The sequence below is a fragment of the Homo sapiens genome, chromosome 2 (assembly GCF_000001405.40).
Source record: "Homo sapiens chromosome 2, GRCh38.p14 Primary Assembly".
In the NCBI taxonomy this organism is placed as follows: Eukaryota; Metazoa; Chordata; class Mammalia; order Primates; family Hominidae; genus Homo; species Homo sapiens.
In genome coordinates this window covers 6,918,744-6,943,461 of record NC_000002.12, presented here as the reverse complement: position 1 = coordinate 6,943,461, position 24,718 = coordinate 6,918,744, and the positions used below count along the sequence as shown (strand labels likewise).

The 24,718-nt window shown below is 44.5% G+C and overlaps 1 protein-coding gene across 8 annotated transcripts in view, besides 1 other annotated feature; it reads right to left on the bottom strand.

Annotated features, from left to right (window-relative positions):
- Positions 1–24,718, bottom strand: part of RNF144A (ring finger protein 144A) — a 158,956-nt gene that overhangs the window by 132,906 nt on the left and 1,332 nt on the right. For 4 of the 8 annotated variants that reach the window (NM_001349185.2, NM_001349181.2, NM_014746.6 and 1 more), the window contains exon 2: positions 2,315–2,514. The gene's annotated coding sequence lies outside the window, so the exon portion shown is untranslated. Of the gene's footprint in view, positions 1–2,314; positions 2,515–10,231; positions 10,379–24,607; positions 24,669–24,718 lie in introns of those variants that run through there. The other 4 variants (NR_146069.2, NM_001349182.2, NM_001349184.2 and 1 more) reach the window with 3 other exon arrangements.
- Positions 18,297–18,710: a silencer, noted in NCBI's record as "fragment chr2:7064883-7065296 (GRCh37/hg19 assembly coordinates)". NCBI's record gives its function as "represses an EF-1alpha promoter that drives an FKBP-Casp9 reporter gene in an ReSE screen in HepG2 liver carcinoma cells {active_cell/tissue: HepG2}" and the evidence as "EXISTENCE:reporter gene assay evidence [ECO:0000049][PMID:32094911]".

Genomic DNA, 24,718 nt, shown 5'->3' with positions numbered 1-24,718 from the left:
CTCCCTTTTGCCGCAAAGCTCAACTGAGTTGTCTACAATCCCTGTCTCCACTTCCTCCCCTGCATTCTTCTCTCCAATCCAGCTTGTGTGGCCACAGCCACTGGACCACTGGTCCTGGCACTGATCCGAGCCTCCATTCTCAGTCCTCTCCATGCTCCTGGTTCCCCCGCTTCCTCCCTGGTTGTTCCCTCTTGTTCTCCTTTGCTGGCTTGTCCTCTTCTGCTCCTCATGAAGCTAGAATGCCCCAGGGCCCAGTCCTTACAACTCCTCTCTTCTTTCACTGGGGATCTCATCTGATCTTATTCCTTGAAATACCAAACAGAGGCCAAAGACTCCTATCACATCTCCAGCACATACCGCCCTCTTAAACGATCAGATCTGGATAGGACCACCCACTCGGTGTCTCCATGTGGGTGGCTTATAATCTTCTCACACTCAGCAAGTTCAAAACTGAACTTTGAATCTCTTTTTCAAATTGAGATGGAGTCTCGCTTTTGTCACCCAGGCTGGAGTGCAATGCCACGAACTCAGCTCACTGCGACCTCCGCCTCCCAGGTTCAAGCAATTCTCCTGACTCAGCCTCCCGAGTAGCTGGAATTACAGGCACCTGCCACAACTCTCAGCTGATTTTTATATTTTTAGTAGAGATGGGGTTTTGCCATGTTGGCCAGGCTGGTCTCAAACTCCTGACCTCAGGTGATCCACCCATCTTGGCCTCCCAAAGTGCTGGGATTACAGGCGTGAGCCACCGCACCCGGCCTCTGAATCCCTTTTTGCACCCAAACCTTCTCTGGCTGCAACCTACTCCATCTCCACTGGTGACAATTCCACCTAGTTACTCAAACTAAAGTGCCTGGAGTCATTACAGACTTTCCCCTTTTCCTCATATTCACAACCACTCTGGAAGGACATGGTAAGGGCTCTCTCTTCAGACTATCCAGAATGTGGCCACTTTTCCCTGCTGCTGCTGCTACTGCTATCTGCAGAGTGTGCCCCACTTTCTCTTGTCTGGATTACTAAAGTAAAATTCTCCAATGACCTCTGAGATGGTCTCCTGGGTTTTACTCTTGTCCTCCGCCCTCTCCAACGTCCTCTGAGATGGTCTCCTGGATTTTACACCCTTGTCCTCCACCCTCTGCAACGTCCTCTGAGATGGTATCCTGGACTCTAGCCTTGTCCTCCGCCCTTTCTAACGTCCTCTGAGATGGTCTCCTGGATTCTAGCCTTGTCCTCTACCCTCTGCAGTGTCCTCTGAGATGGTCTCCTGAACTCTACCCTTATCCTTCACTCTCTCCAATGTCCTCTGAGATGGTCTCCTGGACTGTAGCCTTGTCCTCTGCCATCTGCAATATCCTCCAAGATGGTCTCCCGGATTCTACCCTTTCCTCCACCTTCTACAGTTTATTCTCAATGTAGAGGCCAGAGTAAGCCATTTAAAATGAAATAGACCCTGCTTCTCTGCTTAAAACCCTACACTGATATCCCATCATGAACCTAGAATTCCCCCACAGCCTGCAATGGCAGGCACAGCCAGGTCCCACTATGCCCTGCCCAGTCCCAGCTCACAGCTCTGTGCTGAGTCCTTCCAGCCAGGCTGGCCTGGGTGCTCCTCCAGCTGTCCGTATGCTGCAGCCACCAGCCCTTCTGTCTACAGCGCTCTTGCCCAGATGCTAAGTGGCTAGTTACTGCGCCTCCTTAAAGTGCATGTTCAATTTCACCTTTAGAGACCTCCCTGACCACTCCACTTAAAACTGCAACCTGCCCCGTCGTACTAGACATGGTCTACTTTTTCTTTTCTCTACAATATCTAGGCCTTGTTGCATAGTATATAATTTGCTTCCGGCTACTGTCAAATGAGAATTGTCTGTCTCTTCCTGACTGTCCCTACCCCCATCCTCCACTTGTATTCCTCACAAACACAGAATCTTCGTGAGAGCAGGCACTGGTGCTGCCTCACTGAGTTCTGAGTTAGAGCTGTGCCTGGCACACGCAGGAGCTCAATCCACGTGTTCTCTAGTGAATCAGGGAGATCTAAAACAGGAGACTCCAAGGATTGTTAAAAGCAGCAAATGAATAAACCTGGAAATCTTTCCAAAGTATAAACAACTATGATGGCATAAAATAATGTGTTGAACACTATCTTAAAATTCATTCCGGGGAAACCTACTAGAAAATTGCCTTTATGGTATGGCTTAACAGGTATAGAAAAATCCACCCAGGCAGGCCTACTATCTTTTCCAACAATGGCCTGAGATTCCACTAAGAAGAGATCAATGAACGTTGGGAAGCCTTCATTTTCCGAATTCAAAGTTACCTCTGAGAAATCCAGAGGGGAGGAGAGGAAATGTCTTCAGGCCAGGTCCTGGTGTCCTGCTGTGCTTATACACACTCAGATGTCTCTGCCCTCAGGTCAGGCACCCATAGGGAGAAATGGGAGAAGGTCTCTGGCACCAGGGCTCCCTGCAGAGCTGGGGGAGGCTGGGGGCATGTCAGAGTCAGCAGGGTACTGGATGCCTAAGAAACAAGAGAAGAACACAGGCAGTTAGAGGAGCAGGGAGGAGAGGAGCAGGGCACAAAGCCTTTCTTCAAGCCCAGAGGAAAGGCTACTGACATTAGAAATCTTATCCAGTCAGACAGTTGTGAAGCATAATAGTAAACTGGAGAAAAAACTGAGGTTTACTATGTTAAAAAAAAATCCACCAAGAAGTTAATGAATAAATCCATCAACACAGACAATTCTGAGATAACAAACTGTCCCTCGATCTTCATTCTGTCCCCTCCTTTTCAATCACAGCCATTCGGCTTTGCCCAGTGAGTCTCCTATAGAGAGAGGTGCAAGTCCACAGAAACGCTTGCTTCTCAGGGCAATCATGAGAAAAATAACTCAGAAGTATATAATAAAATAAAAATAAAATTAAAAGAGGATAAAAATAAACTAATGAAAAAAAAGGCAAAACGGAAGAACAGAAGAACACAAATAACATTACGATCCATGGAAAACAAATAGTACAATGGCAGACATAAATTCAGCGTTATCAGTAATTACGCTAAATGGTTTAAACACTCCATTCAAGGGCAGGAATTGGTTGAATGAGTAACAACTATATGTTATTATAAGAAACATAATTTAGAATAGCACCAGAAAGAATACTTAGAAACAACTTTAACAAAAGATGTGTAAGATCTGTATATTAATAACTACCAAAACATCATTAAAAGAAATTAAAGAAGCCCTAAAAAATAGACATCCCATGTTCGTGGATGGAAGACAATGTTGCTAAGATAGCAACACCTTCCAAACTAATATATTAACAGATTGATTAATTGGTGAATAGATTACATGTAATTGCTATTAAAATCACAGCTGCCTTTTTTCAATAAAAATTGACAAGCTGATCCTAAAATTCACACAGAAATCCAAGAGACTCTTAGTAGCTAAAAGAACCTAGAAAAGAAAAAAAACTTGGGGGAGTTACACTTCTTAATGTCAAAACTTACTATAAAGCTATATTAATCAAGATAGTGTAATAGTGACATAAGGACAGACATATGGATTAATAGATTAGAAGTGACAGTCCAAAAGTAAGCATCTACATTTCTGGTTAATTGATTCTTGACAAGAGTATCATGACATTTCAATGGGTAAATGATAGTGTTTTTTTTTTCAACGAATAGTGCTGAAAAACTGAATCTAAACACAGACCTTAAACCTTTCACAAAAATTAACAGCAAATGAATCATAGACCTAAATATAACAGCTAAATTTATAAAACTCTTACAAATAAAACATAAAAGTAAATTTTTGTGATCACAGATGAAGAAATGGTTTCTTAAATATGGTGCTAAAAGCTCAAACAAGAAAAAATAGATACATTGTAATTCATCACAGTTAAAAATGTTTGCATGTCAAAAATGCCATCAAGAGAGTAAAAAGACAACCCACAGAATGCAAAAGTGCATTTGCAAATCATATATCTGATAAAGGCCTCGGATTCAGAATATATGAAGAATACTTAACAATCCAAAGACAACCCAAATGTAAATATGGGCAAAGGATTTAAATAGACATTTCTCCAAAGAAGATATTCAAATAGCCAATAAGCACAAGAAAAATTGCTCTACATGACTAACCAATTAGGGAAATGCAAATCGAAACTCCAATGAGATGCCACTTCACACCCACTAGGATGGCTAGAATCGAAGGACAGATAATAACAAGTGTAGACAAGAATGTGGAGAAATGTGAACCCTTACACATTGCTGGGGAGAATGTAAAGTGGTGCAGCTGCTTTAGGAAATAGTTTGGCAGCTCCTCAAAGTGTTGAACATAGAGTTCTCATATGGCCCAGCATTTCCACACCTAGGTAAACACCCAACATAAATGAAAATATATCTCCACAATAAAACCTATACAGGAATGTTCACAGCTGCATTATTCATAATAGCCAAAAAGTGAAAACGACCCATATGTCCATCAACTAGTGAATGTCTAAAAAAAAAAGACTGAGGCAAATCTATGCAATGGATTTGGCCACATAAAGGAATGCAGTACTGATTCATGCTACAGCATGGGTAAATGCTGAAAACATTGTGCCAGATGAGAGAGAGAAGCCAGACACAAAAGGACATATATTATATGAAACCACTCACATGCAAGGTCGAGAACAGAAATCCATAGGGACAGAAAGTGGATCACCAGTTTTCAGAAGCTTGGAAAGTGAGAGAATAAGAAGTGAGTGCTAAGGGATGCAGAGATTTTTGGAGGGTACTGAAAAGACCCTGGAATTAGATAATGATGTTGGTTACAAAATTCTGTGACTATACTAAAAACCACAGAATGGTGTACTTTAAAACGATGACTTTTATGCTATGTGAATTCCATTTTAATAAAACTACTATTTAAAAAGAAAGAAAGAGGCCGGGCACAGTGGCTCACACCTGTAATCCCAGCACTTTGGGAGGCCGAGGCAGGTGGATCACGAGGTCAGGAGTTTGAGACCAGCCTGGCCAACATGGTGAAATCCCATCTCTACTAAAAATACAAAAATTAGCTGGGTGTGGTGGCGGGCACCTGTAATCCCAGCTACATGGGAGGCTGAGGCAGGAGAATCGCTTGAACGCAGGAGGCAGAGGTTGCAGTGAGCCAAGATCACGCTGTTGCACTCCAGCCTGGGCAACAAGAGCGAAACTCCATCCAAAAAAAAAAAAAAAGGGAGGGGAGGGGAGAGGGGGAGGGGAGGGGAACAGAAACATGCCAAGTGGAAAAAAATTTAAAAGACGAAGTCTGGATTACTCCAGGTTTTCCCAAATGTTCTCTTTCTCAGTATAGCTTTTGTTCATCAGGACTGCAACACTACATGTAAACTCTGCTTAACTTTAGGCATTTCTGTCCGGGAAGCAAAGAACAAATTCAACTGCCTCTTTCTCTCTCCCCCTCTGCCTCTGCAGGGCCATCCTAGTTTTCTCAAAGCAGAGAAATAGAGGAGCAGTGTTTCCATCTGACCAGACAGAAGACACAGCCTGGTGGACAGGCCCATATATCTTTTTGGTAGATATTCCCTCGTTACTGCTCCTTTACTAAAATAGCAAGCATTGCCCACATGCAGCCTGAGGATGCTAATTTTTTTGCAACATTCAGGACCAGGCTGCTCAAGCTAAAGCCTTTAATGCCAATGTCTCCGCCAGCCGAGAGCCCTGACCCAGCCTCCAAACATCACCTGGCCGTGCACAGAGCAAGCCTCTCCCCTCCAGAAAGCTGTTCCTCCTCAGTCCTGAGCAGCATCTAGATATCCATTCCAGAAAATGGTATCCACTTTGTTGCAAATCTATTCTCTGCCTTTACTTGGCAATAAATTCTGAGCCTTCAAACAAAAGACAATATAGTGTCTTTTACTACAGCTTCTGCCATTTTTCCCAGGTAAGAAGAGCCTGTAAACAGAATTATAACCTCCAGCAGGAAGAAAAGCTCTCTGCTCAGCTGGTGCACTGGCAAATGAAGCCTTTCCCAGCTGCATTATAAAAAGATTTATAAAGAGAGCCTGGCCACAGAGCTTCCTGCCCAGAGGGGTGTGTTGGGAGCCCAGTGTGGCTCCTGGGCTGTTGGCAGGTTGCAAAGCCTCCTGTCCCCACCTGGACAGTGGCCCATGGTCACACAGCTGACTGGCATCCGCATTTTCTCAGCACCAGCAAATGGGCGCTAATGAAGTGCCATAGCATTTCACTTGGTTGTTTGTCATCCATATTTTTAACAGCCTCCAGCCAAGCTGCATGTGTACCCAGGTATCAAGAATTGTTCTTCATATACTCTGGTTACAAAGCCACACCGGTATGGAGTGGTCAGTCCCTCAATACTCAAGAAGCCCTCACATTTTTAGTACCTGTTTTTATAGAACACCAGGAATGTACGTACTGGGTTTTAGCAGAAATATCTGTAGTAAATGTTCACGCACTCAACCTTTTCTTGCACCCCGACCATGTGCTCAGACAGCACATAGGAGTGACAACAAGGTGAATAAGATGTGGTCTCTGCTGTCAAGGAGCTCAGACTATGTAGGAACCTATAGACCGCACCTGGCCCTCAGTGACACACACACACACACACACACACACACACACACTACTGTGTGTGACTTGAAAAAATCTGATATACTGAAGGATAGGATGAGGCTTCTCATTTCCTAACAGTGTGCTTGTCTGGTAACTTCAATACAATTAATTAATTTACACCTTTCTCGGAACACAGATGCTACTTCAAATTATGAACAAAAGACTCAATGGTTCAGAATAACCTGAGAAAGTCAACCTGATGCAAAAACATACATTAAAGACATTATTTTATTCATTTCTTTCTTTCACCAAGTGTGTGTCTATCAATATAGAAAAGGATCCTGTTGGTGATTTTTTAAGATTATGTAAGATGACTCCTTGTTAAATAAAGGCTCTAAAATAGCAGCAGCTGAAATCACTACAATAAAAAGGCTTATGAGAAAAAAGAGTCAGTGACAACCACTCAAAACCTTCAGAACTTTGCAGTCTGAGTATTTATCTATACACACACACACATGCATCTATAGATGCATGTATGTGTATACGTGTGTATATATGCATCTATGTGTGCACATGTGTGTACATATGTATCTATATGTGTGTGGGTGTGTGTATATATATGCCATCAGTTAGTGATAAGAGCTACAATAAAATACAACCAGGTAAAGAAAGGACGTGCTATTTTCTTAGTCTTTAAGGCCTCTCTGAAGACGTGATATTTTAAGTGAGTCCTGGATGAAATGAGCAAGCAGGACATGAGAATGTACGGAGAAAGAACATGCTCCACAAACATGCTCACTGCTCTGCACAAGCAATAACAGTGAAGCTCCCCCTGCCTTCACTGTTTCCATAGGCCGAGCCGCCCAAGTTCCCTAAAGGAACAGTGAAAGCAGTGAAAAACAGAAACCTGACAGATATTGAAGGTACCTCCCAAAGCATCTGATGGGAGAAAGGAAGGGAGGCAGGGAATGAGGGAGGGAAAGAAAGAAGTCAAAGACGCTTCCAGACTTTTGTCCTGAACAGTCGTTTGAGCAGCACTGTCCATGACATGGATGTCCCTCAGAAGCCCTAGGGTAGGTGTGCAGATTGCCATGCCGACAACAAGCATGGGCTCGTGAGGGTGGCCTGGTGACACAAGGTGAGAGGCCATCCCATCTACATGCTGTTACCATTAACACTGGAAGCCAAATGAGCTCACAAGGTGAGAGGCCATCCCATCTACATGCTGTTACCATTAACACTGGAAGCCAAATGAGCTCACAAGGTGAGAGGCCATCCCATTTACATGCTGTTACCATTAACACTGGAAGCCAAATGAGCTCACAAGGTGAGAGGCCATCCCATCTACATGCTGTTACCATTAACACTGGAAGCCAAATGAGCTCACCCGGGCAGGGATGTAGACGGGAAAGACAGGAAAAGAGGCCTGAGGATGGAGCCGTGGGGCCCTCGGATGTCCAAACACAGAGATGCAGCTCAGTGATGAAGAGCGACCAATGAGGGAGGAGGAACGGGGAGCTGCAAGGAGAGGGTGGTGACCTCAGAATGGGATGCTAGATGTCCAGATTTTAGAAGAACTGGGTGTTACTGCAGGAATGGGTATCTAATGTAAGACCAAAGAGGATGACCAAAAGGAGGAGGCCAAAGAAGAAAGTCAGGGATCTAGTTTTGAAATGGCCCGCTATGCAGATGTTGAAATGGCTAAAGTAGTAACAGGAAGGAAGATGAAGATGGTGAATTAGTTGCTAAACTCGTCTATGAATGCGGAGGAGGACAAAAGGAGGGGTTATCTGTAGAAGGCTCAGAGAAGAAGGAAGAGGGATGGTAAAGCCTGATGGCATATGTCTCAAGGGAGCAGGGGATTTTTAGGAAGGAAGAAGGTGCAATGGCCTGGAAGTGGCAATGAGAAGCACAGACAGCATCCACTCCACCTTGACCATGTGGTTTTTTTCTTTTTTTTGAGTGATGACCATGTGACAGTCACTGAACTTGGCGGTGATATGCACAATATTGGCAAAAGCACAGCTACTGCAAAATAGCTGCGTCTTACAGAAGAAGAAACAGGTTAAAATCCTTGCCCAGGTCAGATAGCTGGTCAGTGGCAACCCATGTCCAGCTGCAGAGCTCCTGCTCTTATCTAGGACTCCACAGAGTCTTCTATGTAGATATCTTTAAATACTTCTAAGTAGTGTCTCAGAACAATAGAAGAAAGATGGGTTATTCACTAAACAGTTTTCAGACAAATAGCTATAGGTGGGGAAAAAATAGGCTGGGAAAAAAAGATTAGGCTAGTTTCCTAACAATGCTAAAAGTAAAACTACAATTTTACCAGAGGAAAAAAATAACTGAAATATGTATAACCCAGCAGGGAGAAAGGCCTTTAAAGCAAACCTCAGAAATAAGGAAGTGGTAAAGTTCTAACTACATAAAAATAATATTTCTATTTGGAAAAAATAACATAAGACAAGTAAAAAGTAAGTAACGAAACTGGGAATAATTATTCTCATTACATGTAATGAAGAATTAATACTTCTAATTTATAAAGAAAAATATCAATAGAAAACACTGCAATAGAAAAGCAGGTAAAGAATGTGAACAGGTTCACAGAAAGAGAAATACTAGTGGCTGATAAACATTTGAAAAGATGCTGAAACTTATTCCTAATTAAAGACATGAAGTAAAAAGATACCATATTTCACTTGTCAGATCAGCAATGATGAAAAACCTCGATACTGTTGAATAAAAACCCAATACTGTTGAATGTGGAGAAAGAGGAACTTTCATCCATTTCTTAGCAGAACAACGGTAGATGTCATTTTGGAAAATGACTTGGAAACAGATCAAAACATAAAACACACATAACTCTGACCCACATGTGCTGCCCTAAGTATTTACTCAAGAGATACATTGGTGAAAAAAAATTTCATGCGTATGTTAAAACAAAACAAAACAAAAACAAAAACAAAAAACCCTGGAAGCAATCTTCACAACAGCAAAAACTGAAAATTACTTACAAACCCATCAATAGAAGAAAAGCTGAATAAATAATACAGCTATATGACTGAAGAATAAGCTGAACCTTAGTTAATATTTCATGTCTTGGCATGAAAAGATATCTAAGATATATCAGCAAAGAAAAAGTCACACTACAAAAATATGTATACACTATGATCCCATCTGTGAACACACACTTAATTTATATACTCACAATTTTTCTAGAAGAATTAAAATTAAAAAAAAAACCTGTGGGCAATTGCTTTAGAATAAAGGGAATTTTATTCTCCATTTTTTTTCCTTTCAAAGTTGTTTTTTATTCTCTGCATTTATAACTTTAAATTTTTAGAGGCTAAAGACTTTTGATACAGTACCCATGAGATACTATACACTGAGAGAAAACAATTATTTTTATTTTGCCTCACCAAGGATTGTATCTCATAAGTATAACATATTGCAAGCTCTAAATTAAAATCCCACAAAAAGACAGCATTTCTTTGCATTGCAGCCTCCCTGAAGCAAATCCTTAGAGTAGGCTCTGCTCTGAAATCCACATAGAAATCCAAGTTAGTAGAGGCTCTTCCTTCTCCATAGCCTTTCTCCCTCTTCTCCATAATGAAGGAACATTTTAGACTCTGTGCCCACTAGTGATCACAGCAAAATACTGCTCAAGAGAGACCCTCCCACTTACCTACAATTCCTTACACATACGTACGTAAAGGGTTCCAAAGGAATCCCTCCACTTCTCTTCCAATCTTTCAATTTCCAAGTCTAGGATTGTTTTCTTAGCTGTTGCTGAACTTGCAAGTTAGTATTTCAAAAAGCAGTATAGCTCTGCGCAGTTAAGCTTATGCAGCCGCTATAAGTGGAGGTTTTCACATGCGTGGTTTGTTTGACTTTACTATGAATAGAGGTCTTGTCCCGCTTCAATAAAGCACCTCTCTGTTTGCATGCATCGTATACTAATAGTCTGTACACTGGGAAACACAGGGATCCCTTTAGAGTTGCCCTGCAGTGAGTTATTTTGCACTTGTCTTCTCTGGGGGAAAACAAAATACACTCTTCAGCAGTGGAGATATTTGTCAAATTATAGCTATGGAACAAACTTGTTGGTTCATTGGTTATCAATTGATTGAGTATTGTTTAAAATTCTCTTATTGTGATAAAAGGCATTTGGCTAATTCTGCCGTCATTCCTGATTCTAAGGTATCACTCATAAAAATGAAGCTGAGTCTTAGGCTTAAACTGCTCACAAAGAACCAATTGATTTATCTGACCGGATACCAAATTAGGCACAAAATGAGAAGCTTGTTATAGTAGAGGCATTACCACAGGAAAAAAATAGTTTATTTAGAATGGTGAGATAAAACACACACCAATTTTAAAGAACTTAGAAAGCAATTCCTTTGGCTATGTAATTTTGTAAAGGAATAAGGTAACTTAATATATTAAGGAAAAAAAAATCTCCAAATAGCAATACACAGTATTTTCTATTTTTAAAGTGTGTGTAATTGTGAATGGTCTAAATATACCAGTTAAAAGGTACAGATATTCAGGGAGGGTAAAATAGCAAGTGTCAACTACATGTTGCATTGTCCACAGGAAACCTACTTCAAATAGGAAGATTCATGTTAAAAATAAAGGGATGGAAAAAGATATACCATGCTAACACTAATCAAAAGAAAGCTGGACTAGCTATGTTAATTTCGAATAAAGCAGAGTTCAAAGCAAGAAAAAAATCATCACAACAAAGAGGGTCATCACAAAATAATAAAGAGATCAATTTTCCAAGACATAACAATGCTAAACATGTAATACCCTACAACAGAGCATCAAAATACATATGGCAAAACTGACAGAACTGCAGGGAGAAACAGACAAATCCACTACTAATAGCTGTAGACTTTAACACCCCTTTATCAGGAATGGAAAAATTCAGCAGGCAGAAAATCAATAAGAACATAGTTGAACTGAATAGCACTAACAATCAACTCGATCTACTTGATAAAGAATACTCCATCCAACAATAGCAGAATACACATTCCTTTAGTTCAAAGGGAAGAGTCCAGGCCACAAAACACAACTTAAATGTAAAAACAAACAAGAAAAAAACAAAAATCATACAAAGTATGGCCTCATATCACAATGGAATTAAACTAAAAATCAGTAAGAGAAAGATAGATGGAAAATCTCCAAATATCTGGAGATTAAACAGCACACCTCTAGATAACACAAGAGCCACTGGCATTTTCACCATAAATTTAAAACAAAACCACCACCAAAACAGAAAATTAGAGAAAAAATGGAAATATGGCATTATTTCATCTAGGCTATCTTTAACTGAAAACTAGGAAAAAAATGACATGGGTCAAATACTTCCATTTTTGTGGACCAGAGGGCAGTCTTTTATGAGCCAATGAAGTTCTCCACAGTGGACTCTGAATGCTGTCAGCAGGCCTGTCCCTCCCCATTCCCAAAACCCAGCTTCTGACCTGGGTAATTCCAATGGTAATTTGTTAATCTGCATTTTGGACAGGCCTTCAAGGTTTTCCTTTGAAGTTTCATAGGCATGATTTCTTTAATCCTCAGAGGATTCCCACAAAAGAAGTAACCCTGGTACAATTCTCACTTTAGAGATGAATAAAACAGGAACATTTACAGAGAAGTCACAGGTCTTTTCACAAATCCAGTGGGGCCTGAAGTCTTGAGCAGGATCCTGTCTCTGTCCCCACAGTCTTGCCTTCTCTGCTCAAGCACTGACCACGACCGCTGCACTAGGAGATGCTTCTGGACTCTGCCGGGCACACTGTCCCAGTTCTGACATGAACAGTACTCAGTCAGACCTGCAGGTGCATGGTATCAGGTCAGCCTGGGAGGGCAGCCGTTTAGGAGCAATGTGGTTGCTTGCATGGCTTTGTCCAGTTTATTAATAATAGGAGGGTTTCTTCCTTGTTTCATTTCAATCCCATGGCAGCAAAATGTCCACTTATGACATAAGGTGGATTTATTGGTTGAAATATATATAGTTAGCCAGGCGCAGTGGCTCATGCCTGTAATCCAAGCACTTTGGGAGGCCGAGGTGAGAGAATTGCTTGAGCTCAAAAATTCAAGACCAGCCCGGGCAACATGGCAAATCCCCCCCTCTACAAAAAAAATATAAAAATTTGCTGGGTGTGGTGGCACACACCTGTGGTCCCAGCTATTCAGGAGGCTGAGGTGGGAGGATTGCTTGAGCCCCAGAGATCAAAGCTGTAGTGAGCTGAGATTGCACCACTGCACTCCAGCCTGAGTGACAGAGCAAGATCCTGTCTCAAAAAAATAAATTATACATATATATACACGTATGTATGTATATACAGATAGATAAAGTGTGTGTATCTATATATATTATATATATACCCATAGATGTGTGTGTGTGGTGAGCATGTGTGTGTATATATATGGAGTAACAAAATTTGTGTGGACTGAGGGGATGACTGAATTTACAATTAATTTTTTACAAAACTAAGTGAATTTACTTCACTAAAAATGAAATATAACCATAATTGAAAAATAAAAAAATAGAAAAACTGTCACAATCCTTATGAGTTCTGATTCCTCTCCTCAGCACATTTTTCAAGTTTGTACATCAAACTGCACAATTCTGCCTCACCATTGTTTTCACTTAATAATATAAACATTTCCCATGCCCACTATCTCCAAAAATCTTATCTAATTAGAGCATGATATTTACTTAGCTATATTTAGATGTTTTCCATTTGGGGCTATTATTCTTTAAAAAACATGAAGAAATACATTTGTGCATCAAGCATTTATTTTTCTCCACATTTAGTATCATCTCTTGGAGCTGGATTCTCCAAAGCGCAACTGTGCAAAGTAATCATGCCATTGCAAATAAAAATAATGCATCTTTCCTTACGCCATCCTTTCACCCAGTTTAGGTCTAGAAATTCATTCTTTCTGCTGAGCCAACGTGATTTATATTTATTTCCTTCCTGCAGCAGGACCCACTTCATCATATTCGAAAATGCACTTTTTTAGCTACTTTCTCTTAGAATTGTTTTTTTAAATAACAATTCCATGCTTAACAAGGAAAACTTTATCCTATCTCCAAAGCTATTTATTATCACATAATGGTAGTTATATCGTAACTAAATTGATTTCTACATAAACAGTAGGTGTGGATAACATATAAGTCAATACCAGGTAATATTCAAATATAATTTAAAGTCTTCCAAACTACGATTGCGTAAGCTTCACAATAATTATTTTTATTAGCACCTCAGCTGAGGGTTTTTGCCATTTGAGGTCAGTTTACAGACATGCGTGGTTTTGAAAACCACCACATTGTGCTGTTTCAGTAAAAAGAAAACACAGACCTTCAGGCAGGATCCCAATGTCCCTTATTTAAAATAAAAATATGTATATATTGAGTTCAGTGAAAAGTTCCAGAGTGAAGTTCAGCATACCACATCCTGTGCTGGAAATTCAAAATGAGTAACACCCACGGCTTAGCTCCAGGAGCCCAGCTCACTGTACATTCACCCTATGGAAGTGCAACAAATAAATGTCAAACTCTGAGTCTCAACTCCACTGTCAAGGAGAGCTGGGAAGAGATAAAATATGGTGGCGAGGGCAGTATTTAACTCAGGGACATGTGACTTCCACAGGTCTCATCTCTCCTTATGCCAAAAATTGAAAAGTACCCTCACATCAGGTTAAATACAATTTCTATGTAACTATGCATGGCGTTTCAATCAAGTCAATAACAGTTCAATTTTGTTGACATAACATGTCATATGTGTTAACATCAATTCTGTTATTTTTTTTAATACTCTAGAGCTAATACTTGTTTCCAATTTTTTAAAATATTTCATTTGGCAAAGCTCAAAGGCCCTTGGCACCAAGTCTGCTGTGTCTAGGGAGCAAATGGATGCTGACTTCATTCCATGTCACCCCCAAAATGCCAAGCTGCTCAGGGAACTGACAGGGTCTGAAGGGGCCACGCAGAACCCCCAGAAGTGGCAGGAAGAGGATGGGCCAGTTTCTGACCATCACCGAAGGCAGGCTGCCACAGCAGGAGACACTGGGAATGCAGGAAAAAGCAGGTGAGGAGGAAGTTCACAGGGAAGCCCTCGACCACAGAGGGTGTCAGGTGATAGGAGGCCTTGGAGCCAGCCGTGGAGAAAAGGCTAGCGAAAGCCACAGGTTTCAAAGACTCGGAAAAAAATCTGGGGCAACTCTGAAGGCAAGGGCTCAAATGAGGAATGCGCAGTCGCCAGAAAGGAAGGGAGGAGCACGGAGGCCAGGGCATGCAGGAGGCCAGTGGAGGACAGCAGTACGTGGGCTAGAAGCTGGTGGCCTGGGGGCACGTCTAGTATTCTAGACATGTGGGCTTGGTCTGGGGTGCAGATGTAGGATGTGCAGAGAAGAGACAGGTATGGGAGAGGCTTCTCTCAACCAGTCTTCACTGGGAATCAAATATATGTGCAAGATCCATTCGGTGCCATCTGCCCTGACCGCTGAAGGCCAGGAGAATGCCAATGGTAAACACACAGGCAGGTGGTGGACCCAGAGGAGAAATGAAGGGGGCCTGCGGCAATGAACTTGATGCAAAGATGATGGAAGTCAGGGTAGATTTTGACAGTAGAGCGTCTTAAGGAAAAATGTTAAATTCATCTAGCCCAAACCGTCCATTTAACACATTTTTTTAAAAAGGCCCAAAAATGTTGGAATCTGAATTGAGACTGAACAGAGTTGAGCTGGTTGAACAGTTGAGTCTGAATAATACAGGCTACAAAGAAGGACGTGCCCAAACAGGGCAAGTGGGACAAGAGTCTGAACCATCCATAACTAACCTCAAGGCATGTAGGACGTGCCTAGTGACAGTGAAATGGCACAAACCAGGCCCCCAGATGCAGGCGAGGGGCCCTGTCCATGCTGGGATCCCAGAATCCAGGGCAGGTAAGCACTCTAGAAGAGCTGGTCAAAAGGCTGGTAACCTGGAAAGAAACACACCTCTCCAAGGCCCTCCAGATCAGCACTTCAGTCTGATGCAAGCCACATACACAATTTTAAATTTTCTGGTAGCCACATTTTATTAAAAAGCATGGGAAATTAGTTTCAGTAATATATTTTATTTAACCCAATATGACCAAAATATAATCATCTCAACATACAATCTATATAACAATTATGACTGGGTACTCTACATTCTGTTTTTCACACCCAAAACCCACTGACAGCACAGCTCAATTGGGACTGGCCAGAATTTAAGGGCTCCAGGGCCCCGCAGGGCCAGTAGCTACCGCAGAGGACAGCCTGGCTCAGGTCCTCGCTTCCCCTCCACCTGTCTGCATTCTGTTTTTTCTGCTACACAAGGAAGAAGTCCTGCCTGCCTCCAGAAAGCAGCCCTTATCTGCCAGGCCAGCAGGACACAGCTCAAGGCCCTGATCAGTCGCCTAGGCTGGCACAGTCAAGCTGGTCCTCCCGAGGAAAGGCTGGATCCACTGCACATGGCCAGGGACAGAAAAAAAACAAGGTCACTGTCAAGGAAGCAGAGCTGCAGGCCAAAGGGAGAGAGTCCCAGGAGTGATTAAAGTATTAACAGATAAGAAATGCTTCCCTCGGCCAATCAGCAGGCAGAAATTGTGCATTCCTTTCAGGAGGAGCTGCAAACACATCCTTCTGAGTCTTACTCAGGCTTTCACAGTTGACAGCACAGTACCTGGCCTAGAGTGAAGGCTACACAAATATTTATTCGGCATATGAAAAACCCTGCACCTAAAATCCTGTGCTATTTCACAAACAGGAGACGTGAAGAGCAGGCAATCTCACGGGACCAACAGGGCTTACTATGTGTTCTGGTTGTTTTTACTACAGTGAAACTGGACTCAACAAAGTACCGCAAGTTTAAGAGATGAATCCCTGCCATGTGGACTCCAGAACGGTAAACTCTCCCTTGTTTCAGAAAGGGCACCCCCGCTCTGCCCCATCCCTTCCTCTCTGCAAGTCCTCACCTTCACTATATAGTCCTCAATGTGTCTTTGAATCCCTGGTACCAAGTAGTTTTTGCCAAATGATGGATTAAAGAACAAAAGTAAATAAACAACAACAACAATAGAAATAAAGAGTAAGATATTCATGAATATTATAGTGAATGAATGTGGCTGTTTCTGGACTCAAATGTCTTTGAAGGGAAAAGACGCAGATTCATTTCAACAAATATTTATTGAGCGCCTCCTATGAGAAGCCTGTGTGCCGAGTGCTAGAGGGGTACAAAGACAACCAGGACAGGACTGGGATTCCCAGCCCACACTGTACCCACACCGAACCTATTGATGGAACACACAGGTGTGCATAGCCCCACACCTGCAACCTTGAAGCCGCATGCATATGGCTCTGGGCCTAATCCATATGGGCTCCTGCTTTGCCAGGAAGAGCAGGTAAGAGAGGGAAAGGCAGTTTTATCAAGGCCTAGCACGGCCAACCCCTGCACGGGGCAGTTCTCTCGCATGTGTTACCAGTCCAGTCCTCCAGGACCACCTCCCAGGCAGACCCTCATTTTCTCTCCTTCTCTTTCTCCAGGAGCCGGCCACGCAGCCCAGCTCTGGCACTGGGCCCTGAACAGAGTCAGCCACCAAACTTTTGGAAAAGCTTGTCGCTTCTTGACAAAAACGGACAGATGCAGCTGACACCAACTCCCCCTCCTCTCTCACTGCCTTCAACACAGATGTGGCGCAGCTGTGGCCAGCCCTTTTGCATGATGGGGCAAAGGAAAACATGCTGAGGATGGCAAAGTGAAAGAAGAGAGAACCTGGCTCTCAGTAACATCCCAAGCCGCTGCACCAGCACCTGGAAGCAAGCACCTACCTTCAGTGCCTTGCTATTAAGGAAACAGAAAGCTGTTTAAGTCCTTGTTAGTAAGTGCTATGTTGCTGGCCAAACATATGCTAACACATCCAAACACAAACAAACACTATGCCTGATACTGGTACATATATATGTGTTGTGTGTATTGATGCATGTGTATGTGTGTGTTTGTGTGTGTGCGCACACGTGTGTGTTGAATCATGTCTCCCCCAAAGGATATATTGAACTCCTAACCCCTGATGCTTATGAATGTGACCTTATTAGGGTGTTTGCAGATGCAATCAAGAGAAGATGGGATCAACAGGCTTGGCCCTAATCCAACATGACTGAAGTCCTTGTGAGAAGAGGTGCACCCCCAGCGCAGAGACAGAGAAGACAGCCACATGAAGATGCAGGCAGATATCAGAGAGAATCATCTACCTGTATTCTGCGCCTTGAACCTGCCCTTTACCTGCGGCTTGCCCACATCAGATCCTGAGGTTCCTGCCTGCTTCTGTCCTTGGATAAATGGGAACTCTTACTCTCATATCTGGCCACTTTCACCCCTACACATGATAACAAGAAGAAAGTAAAGAGAGCAACTGGGGGGGAAGGGGGAGGACAGAAGCTGAAACACAGATGGTTTCTTAGTGTCTCACAATGGATTAAATAAAGAGATTTCTTTTTCTTTTTCCTAATACACCTGGCCCTATCCACCACTCTGCCGGCCACCAATGACCAGACTGGCTCAGTTTTCAGGGCCTTGGATAGTGCTTCACTGAGACAAGAAGAAGAGAGAAGGGCCTGCAATCTGTGAGTGAGATCTGTGAGGATACAGCCAGCCCCATCCCATCCACACCAGGGATTACAATCACTTACTTCTGCCAAGTGGTTAGAAGGAAATGCAAGTGTTTTAGTCAAGAGAGTTCAGATCTAAGGTGCCAACTCAGAAAGTCTCCTGGAAGCTCTTTGGATGCCACTGCCCTAGGCTACAAAGCTCCAGTGCATACGCTATCAAAATTCGCCGTGTGGCAATCGAGGTCGCCAGAAAACTCACAGAAGGACCCAGGTGCTTCCTGACATTCTCCATCCGTCAAAGAGCCAGCCCCAAGGTCTCTGGAAGCCCACACCCTTCCCAAAGCAAAGGCTCCCTTGGAGCACACAGCCTGTGTTATGCTTGTGAGTGCACAACTGGCACCACAGACCATGGGCACATAAGTTACTCAGAAAACGGATTCCTCAGAGACAGAGAATACAGTGAACACAAAGGATGGCTCCTCACACACTTCACAGCACACTTAGCAGTTGCACTTCTTCAACTCTTATACAGGAAGAACCACAAGAATCTCTGGCCCTGGGGCCCTACCTGGCAAGTTCCTCCAAGGCACTGGCGAAAGCATCCTAGTGTTTCATGAGAGGCCCGCACTCGGAAGGGAGATGGAGGCCCCTCCTCTGCTGCTCCTGAGCGTTCATCCAACAGCCCTGTCTCCTCAGCATCCTCCAGAACAAACCCTGCCCGTCCTGGGTCTTTGCCCTGCTCTGGGACAGCTCAGAGCACCCCCTTCTCTACACTCCCCAGCTCTCCAAAGCCCACCTATGCTGAGTCCCATTTCCACAATCGCTTCCTCACCAGACTCCCAGGACATGCGCTCGGATGGGCACATTCAGGCGCTTGGTTCTAACCATTCCACATTATGCATCTCCCTTCACATCGCAGGCAAAGGCCACGTCCTATGCTTCCCGTGCATCGCACAGTGCCTCGGGCCCCCCAGCAACACGGCCACGGAAGTCTCGCCAGCTGTTACTCTGGATCTCACTTACATGGTGTCTACACAACCACGGTACCCAGGATTCTCTCTCTGCATTCCAGGCCACCAGGCTACATTCTACCATCCTCACTCTTAAACCCAAGCAAATATTCCCATCTGACTTCTCAGGGTCTTAAGGTGTATTGTTCTGTGACCTGACCTAAAGAGAGAACCTGGTTTACTCGGATCATGATGGAATACAGAATTTACACTCGAATTCCATTTCTTCATTCATAATCTGTTCCAGGCTTCCCTCTTGAACCAGGTTTCTCTATCTTGTATTCAATCACTTAACAAAAATCCATTCAGAAAGAGCATGATAGGCACTGAGAGAATGTAAAAATGAGTAAGTTCCTACCTGTGCAGAGATTATAATTTAGCAGAGGAAATAGGATGGTTACATAAATCAGTAAAATTGGATTAGAGAGTTTTAAACGCAACTACAGGTTCTGAAAAAAAAAAATAAAGTTGCTATGGAAGCACCTGGTGGGGAAAACATTTGTGCCTGGGAAGACGAGAGAGAACGCAGGCACCTGGGCCTGCAGGACCTGGCCTGGACCCTGGAGCTTTAACTCCGTCCCAGTTCTGCTCCGTGCGGCTCCATCTTCTCATCTGTGCAATGCCAGTGTCAGAGGAGAGCATCTCCACAGTCACCCACATTGGCAATTTTACAGCTGGAAGGAAAGGCAGCATTTGTGATGAGCCTTCAAGAATCATTAGGAAGCTGGCACATGGATGGTGGGAGAGCGTCCCAGGGCACACGTCAGCAGCTGCTGAGATCAGCCCTGGAAAGACAGGCTGGAGCCAAGGCAGGAAGAGGCTTGAACACTCAACCCGCGGGCTCACAGGTAACTTGGGCAACGAGCGTGGCTGGAGGTCTCTGAATAGAGAAGTGTTAACAGACACCGACAGGCTTAACACACAAGCTTCCCAAGAAAGTTAACAAAAAAAAAGGTGTGCATTGATTCCAGCTTCAGCGCATTTCCGTTTCAGTGAATGTTTGAACTTGAGGAGAGAGTCCCTTCATGCAGACATCTGAGTATTTCTGTGGAGGGAACACTTCCTACCACCCAAATGGGGACATGAGGAAGCGCTGCTGCCTCCCTGGCAGGCCCCCTTTCATTCAGAGGATATGGGCAGACCTCACTGAAGAGGCTGTAGCAGGGGTCGAGCAGGTGGTGCAGACATCAGAGAGTTCACTCTAGAATGCTGGAAACTTGCAGAGGAGGCTGCAGACCAGTCAGCGACGGAGGGTGCACAGAGGGGACTCCTGCAACCCACCAGATCACCAGCCAGGTGACACACCCTGGAGTCTGAGACACACTATGAAAAAGCAGGAGGCCGGGCGCGGTGGCTCACGCCTGTAATCCCAGCACCTTGGGAGGCCGAGGCGGGCGGATCATGAGATCAGGAGATCAACACCATCCTGGCTAACACAGTGAAACCCCGTCTCTACTAAAAATACAAACAATTATCAGGGTGTGGCGGCGGGCGCCTGTAGTCCCAGCTACTCGGGAGGCTGAGGCAGGAGAATGGCGTGAACCCAGGAGGCGGAGCTTGCAGTGAGCTGAGATTGCACCACTACACTCCAGCCTGGGCGACAAAGTGAGACTCCATCTCAAAAAAAAAAAAAAAAGAAAAACAAGAAAAACCGGGCGGGTCCCCTCTGCATGGCTCGCAGGAGGCAGTCAAGCTTGCTGCATTCTGCACTCCTCTGCCCTCCAGAGGACCTTAACACACCATGCATCAACAATAAACATGCCCTGCTCCACAGAATTACCTGAAAGCAGTTCTTGGGAAACCTAAAAAGTATTCCCAGGAACACAATGTTGTAAGAGATGTGCACAGTCCTTGGACAGACACAAAAGCCCGTTCAATCAATAAAGAGACTCTGACAACATCCACTTTCAGGACTTGGAACCCTTCCCTTTTGCTCCCACAGGCTCCCATAGGCAGAAGCCCCCAGAGCCTGCACGGCCATATCCAGCACATGCACGGGGCTAATGTCTAGTTCGCTGGCCCCAGTCAACTATGGGTCACTCGGAAGACATGGGAGCAAGGTGACTGACTGTAAAAACAATGGTCGCTATGGGTGGTTCCCCTGATCTTTCCCTGAACTCACTCTCCCACCAGGTAGAACTGGAGGAGGAGGAAAGGAAATGGAGGGAACACAGATAGGGAAAGACGCTCCAAAACAAAACAGTGAAAAGGAAAATGCACTGATGGGACCTTCCAGGAGATGCCAGTAATGAAAGCGGCTGTATTACACACGGAAATCTGGGTCCAAACAGCTCAGAGACCACCAGCCACCCTAAAAAGGCCAATGGTAAGGCAGCTGGGGAGCTCGGCCCTGTGTGCTGGTCCTAAGTTCCCTGTCCACCCCAGGCTGTTTCTTGCTGTTCCCAGGCCCAGAATGTGACCTTGTCCCTCTTAATTTGCCTAGCTAACTCTGACCCGTCCCTCCCATCCCAGACCAACAGCATCGCCCCAGCAGGCAGCCTCCCTGCCACCCGGGGCTGATCCAGGCACCCTCCTGTGGGTCCCACTGCTCTCTGCCCTGACCTCCCATGCTGCCCTGACCCCACGGTTCAATCTGTTAATGTTTGAGCTTCCCGCTCCCTAGACTACAGCCTCCTCAAGGTCATGGGATCTATCCTTATCTGCAGGCCTCTGGGTTCAAAGCCAGGCTTCAAAATTGACGACGTGTGTGCGATGTTGGACAACATCCCTGCTCTCTGCTTCACTCTGCTCCTCTGTCAGCTAGGGATAGCAACATACGCCTGTGCTGCAGGGCTGTGTGAGAACTGCATCCACGATGCAAGCAAAGCCCTGAAGATCAGGCAAATCCATAATGAGTATCAACCACCTCCTCCACCTCTAGTGCCAAACACACCTGAGATGATAAAATACTGGTTGACACACTGCATGCCACCAAGGAGCTTGCTTTTGTCTGGAACACTGCATCCAGCTTATAAGCCTGCTCCTTAGAGAAAGCCTGCCTTCCAGTTCTACGGAACATCCAGGAAGTAAGCACCTTTAAATTCAGGTCTTGGGTTATTTGTGGAGTGAAGCAAGGTGAAGGCTCCTATCAGCAATGAGCCACCCTCCTCAAAGCTTCATTTCTCACCATTTCACTTTGGAAAAAATCCACTCTTCTGAAAGTTAAAATATTTTCTCTTGGGAAACAAACAAACCCTTACGAATGGTTGTACTTGGTGAGTCGTCCTGTAATATTTATTCTCCTGGAAAAAAAATATGATCCAACAGTACATTTTTATTTCTGGATCTTGGAAAATATTTACACCAACACCTCAGTTTTATCCTCAAAAAACTGGAGCCATCCAGGGAGGTTAAGACGCTGGCCCAGGGCCAGACAGCTGGGTCAGGAAATTGTAATAAGCTCTATCCTTCAGCCCCACTACCCAGCAGGTATGTGAGCAGTGGCTTCAATTTAATTTCTTCATCTAACTAAGAAAGGGTATTCATGTGTTTCAGTAATGCAGAAACAACGGAGAAAGGAGGCTAGTCTTGGAAATGATTACTTCTTAAAGAAAAGAAAGGCACCTCCAACTTCATTCTTCGATCTCAATGTTAGAAAATTCCCCAGAGAAAACACGGAGAGTCCCTCTTCCTTAGAAGCACTCCATTCCATTCCCCGCCTCTGGGCTGCCTCTGAGATCCCACATCCTGTGAAGCCAGGGGTTCCTTGCTCTAAGAGAGTCTGAGGGCTCAATATCATCCTGAATGGTTCCAGACCACCCAACGTGCAGGGCAGCGAGCACGGCTTCATCCTCTTCTATTGCAAGTGAGGTATGGGAAAAAAGGGACAGCAGACAGAACCAGAAAAGCTGATGCCAGGGCTGGACCAGCCACAGCTTTTCATGTGGCCTGGGCTACCTGACCCCTCCTTTCCAAGCTACGAGGTTCCCATGGTTACAACAAGGGTTCATAGGCCAGGTGGGTGCTGGCCCACCTGGTTCTGTGATTGTCAGTCTCCAAGGGCAGGCTTCCTTCCCATCTCTACCCCCAGAGGGAAAGGCTTCCAGGAGGGAGAAATGTGAACAAAAGTAGGCAGTGGGGCCACGTGGTGGACCACAGGGGAAAGAATGTTCTCAGAGGCAGGCAACGTAGCTTGTAGCTCCCAACCCTGCCGCCGCCTGCCAGAGTGGCACTTCTACCCCTGAACCTCAGCAGCTTCAGCCAAACAGTGTGAGGTCCCTTCAAAGTCCCAAACCACACTGAATCCCCAGGAGACGTGACTTACTCTAGCAACAGTCTGGATACAGGGATTACCAACTAGCAAGCTGAGGGCACTGGAATCTATTTATAAAATATATGCATTTTACAATGCTCTTTGAGTTTCCCAAATCCTCATGGCACAGATGACCTGGGGGTGCCTGCATCGTGCATTTGAGTTTGCCCTTCATTAGTTCCTCTTCCAGAGTTGCTGACATTAGAATCGGGAGCTCTTTAAAAACACAAACTGCAAAAATCAAATTGCACTGGGTCTGGAAAATTTCCATCCCATTAAAATTGGGTTATTTGCACCCATTTTCTCATGAGGTCCTCAATCCATCCACAGCCTTTGATGCCTGATGCAGGTGGAAGCCCACAGCCAGTGGGGGTCTGACTCGGAAGCCACAGTAAGGCACACCACACCATGCCTTCCCTTCCACGCAACACCGCGGAAATCACTCTAAAGCAGGGCTCAGATCACCCTCCTCCTCCAAAACCATCAATGGCTCCCACTGACACAGAGTCAAACCCAAAGTCTTGGCCTAGAATTCAAAGATTTCATGATTTATCCTCTTCTGACCCCTCTAGTCACATTTCCTTTGCACGCTTTAAAAATAAAAACAAAAATGTAAAAGGCATTAGAAAAGTGCAAAAAACAAGGTTCCCTAATCTCAGTACCGGAGAAGAGAATACAATAAAAAAGGCTGTTGTCTCCTTTGGAGCCACTGGGTGAATCCCCTGGGAAAGTTCACGGTGTCACACACCTTGTCCCTCCCCCTTCCTGCGCTGGAGCAGCTCTCTCTGGACAGAGGCCCTTCCTGCCACCTCTGACCTGCCCCACCTGCAAGCTTTGACTCAGACACCCCCTCCCTTGCAAAGGGGACTCCCTTTGCAGGGACACCCTGACTCCCTCCCTTCCCTCCTGGGGGCTCCCACAGCTCCACAGGCGTCTACACCAACTTACTTTCTACCTGGCATTTCATTTACAAATCCATCTTATCTGCCAGGCTCAACTCTCAACCCCAGCCCCATTCACTGGGGCATGTCCTCCTTCCATCTCCCAGGCCCCATTACGGGAAGTGTTTTCTTCCCAGGCTCTTAGTGCAGGAGCTAGACCCCCTCTCACCGCAGGGCAGCAGGGATCCACTGGGGATAGTTCCCTGGGGCCTTACCTCACTCCTCTGTTACCCCAGCCTTGATCCTGCAGGAGGCAGCGCAGGATGTTTGTTCAATGGATTTTTTTTTTTTTTTTTTTTTTTTTTTGAGACGGAGTCTCGTTCTGT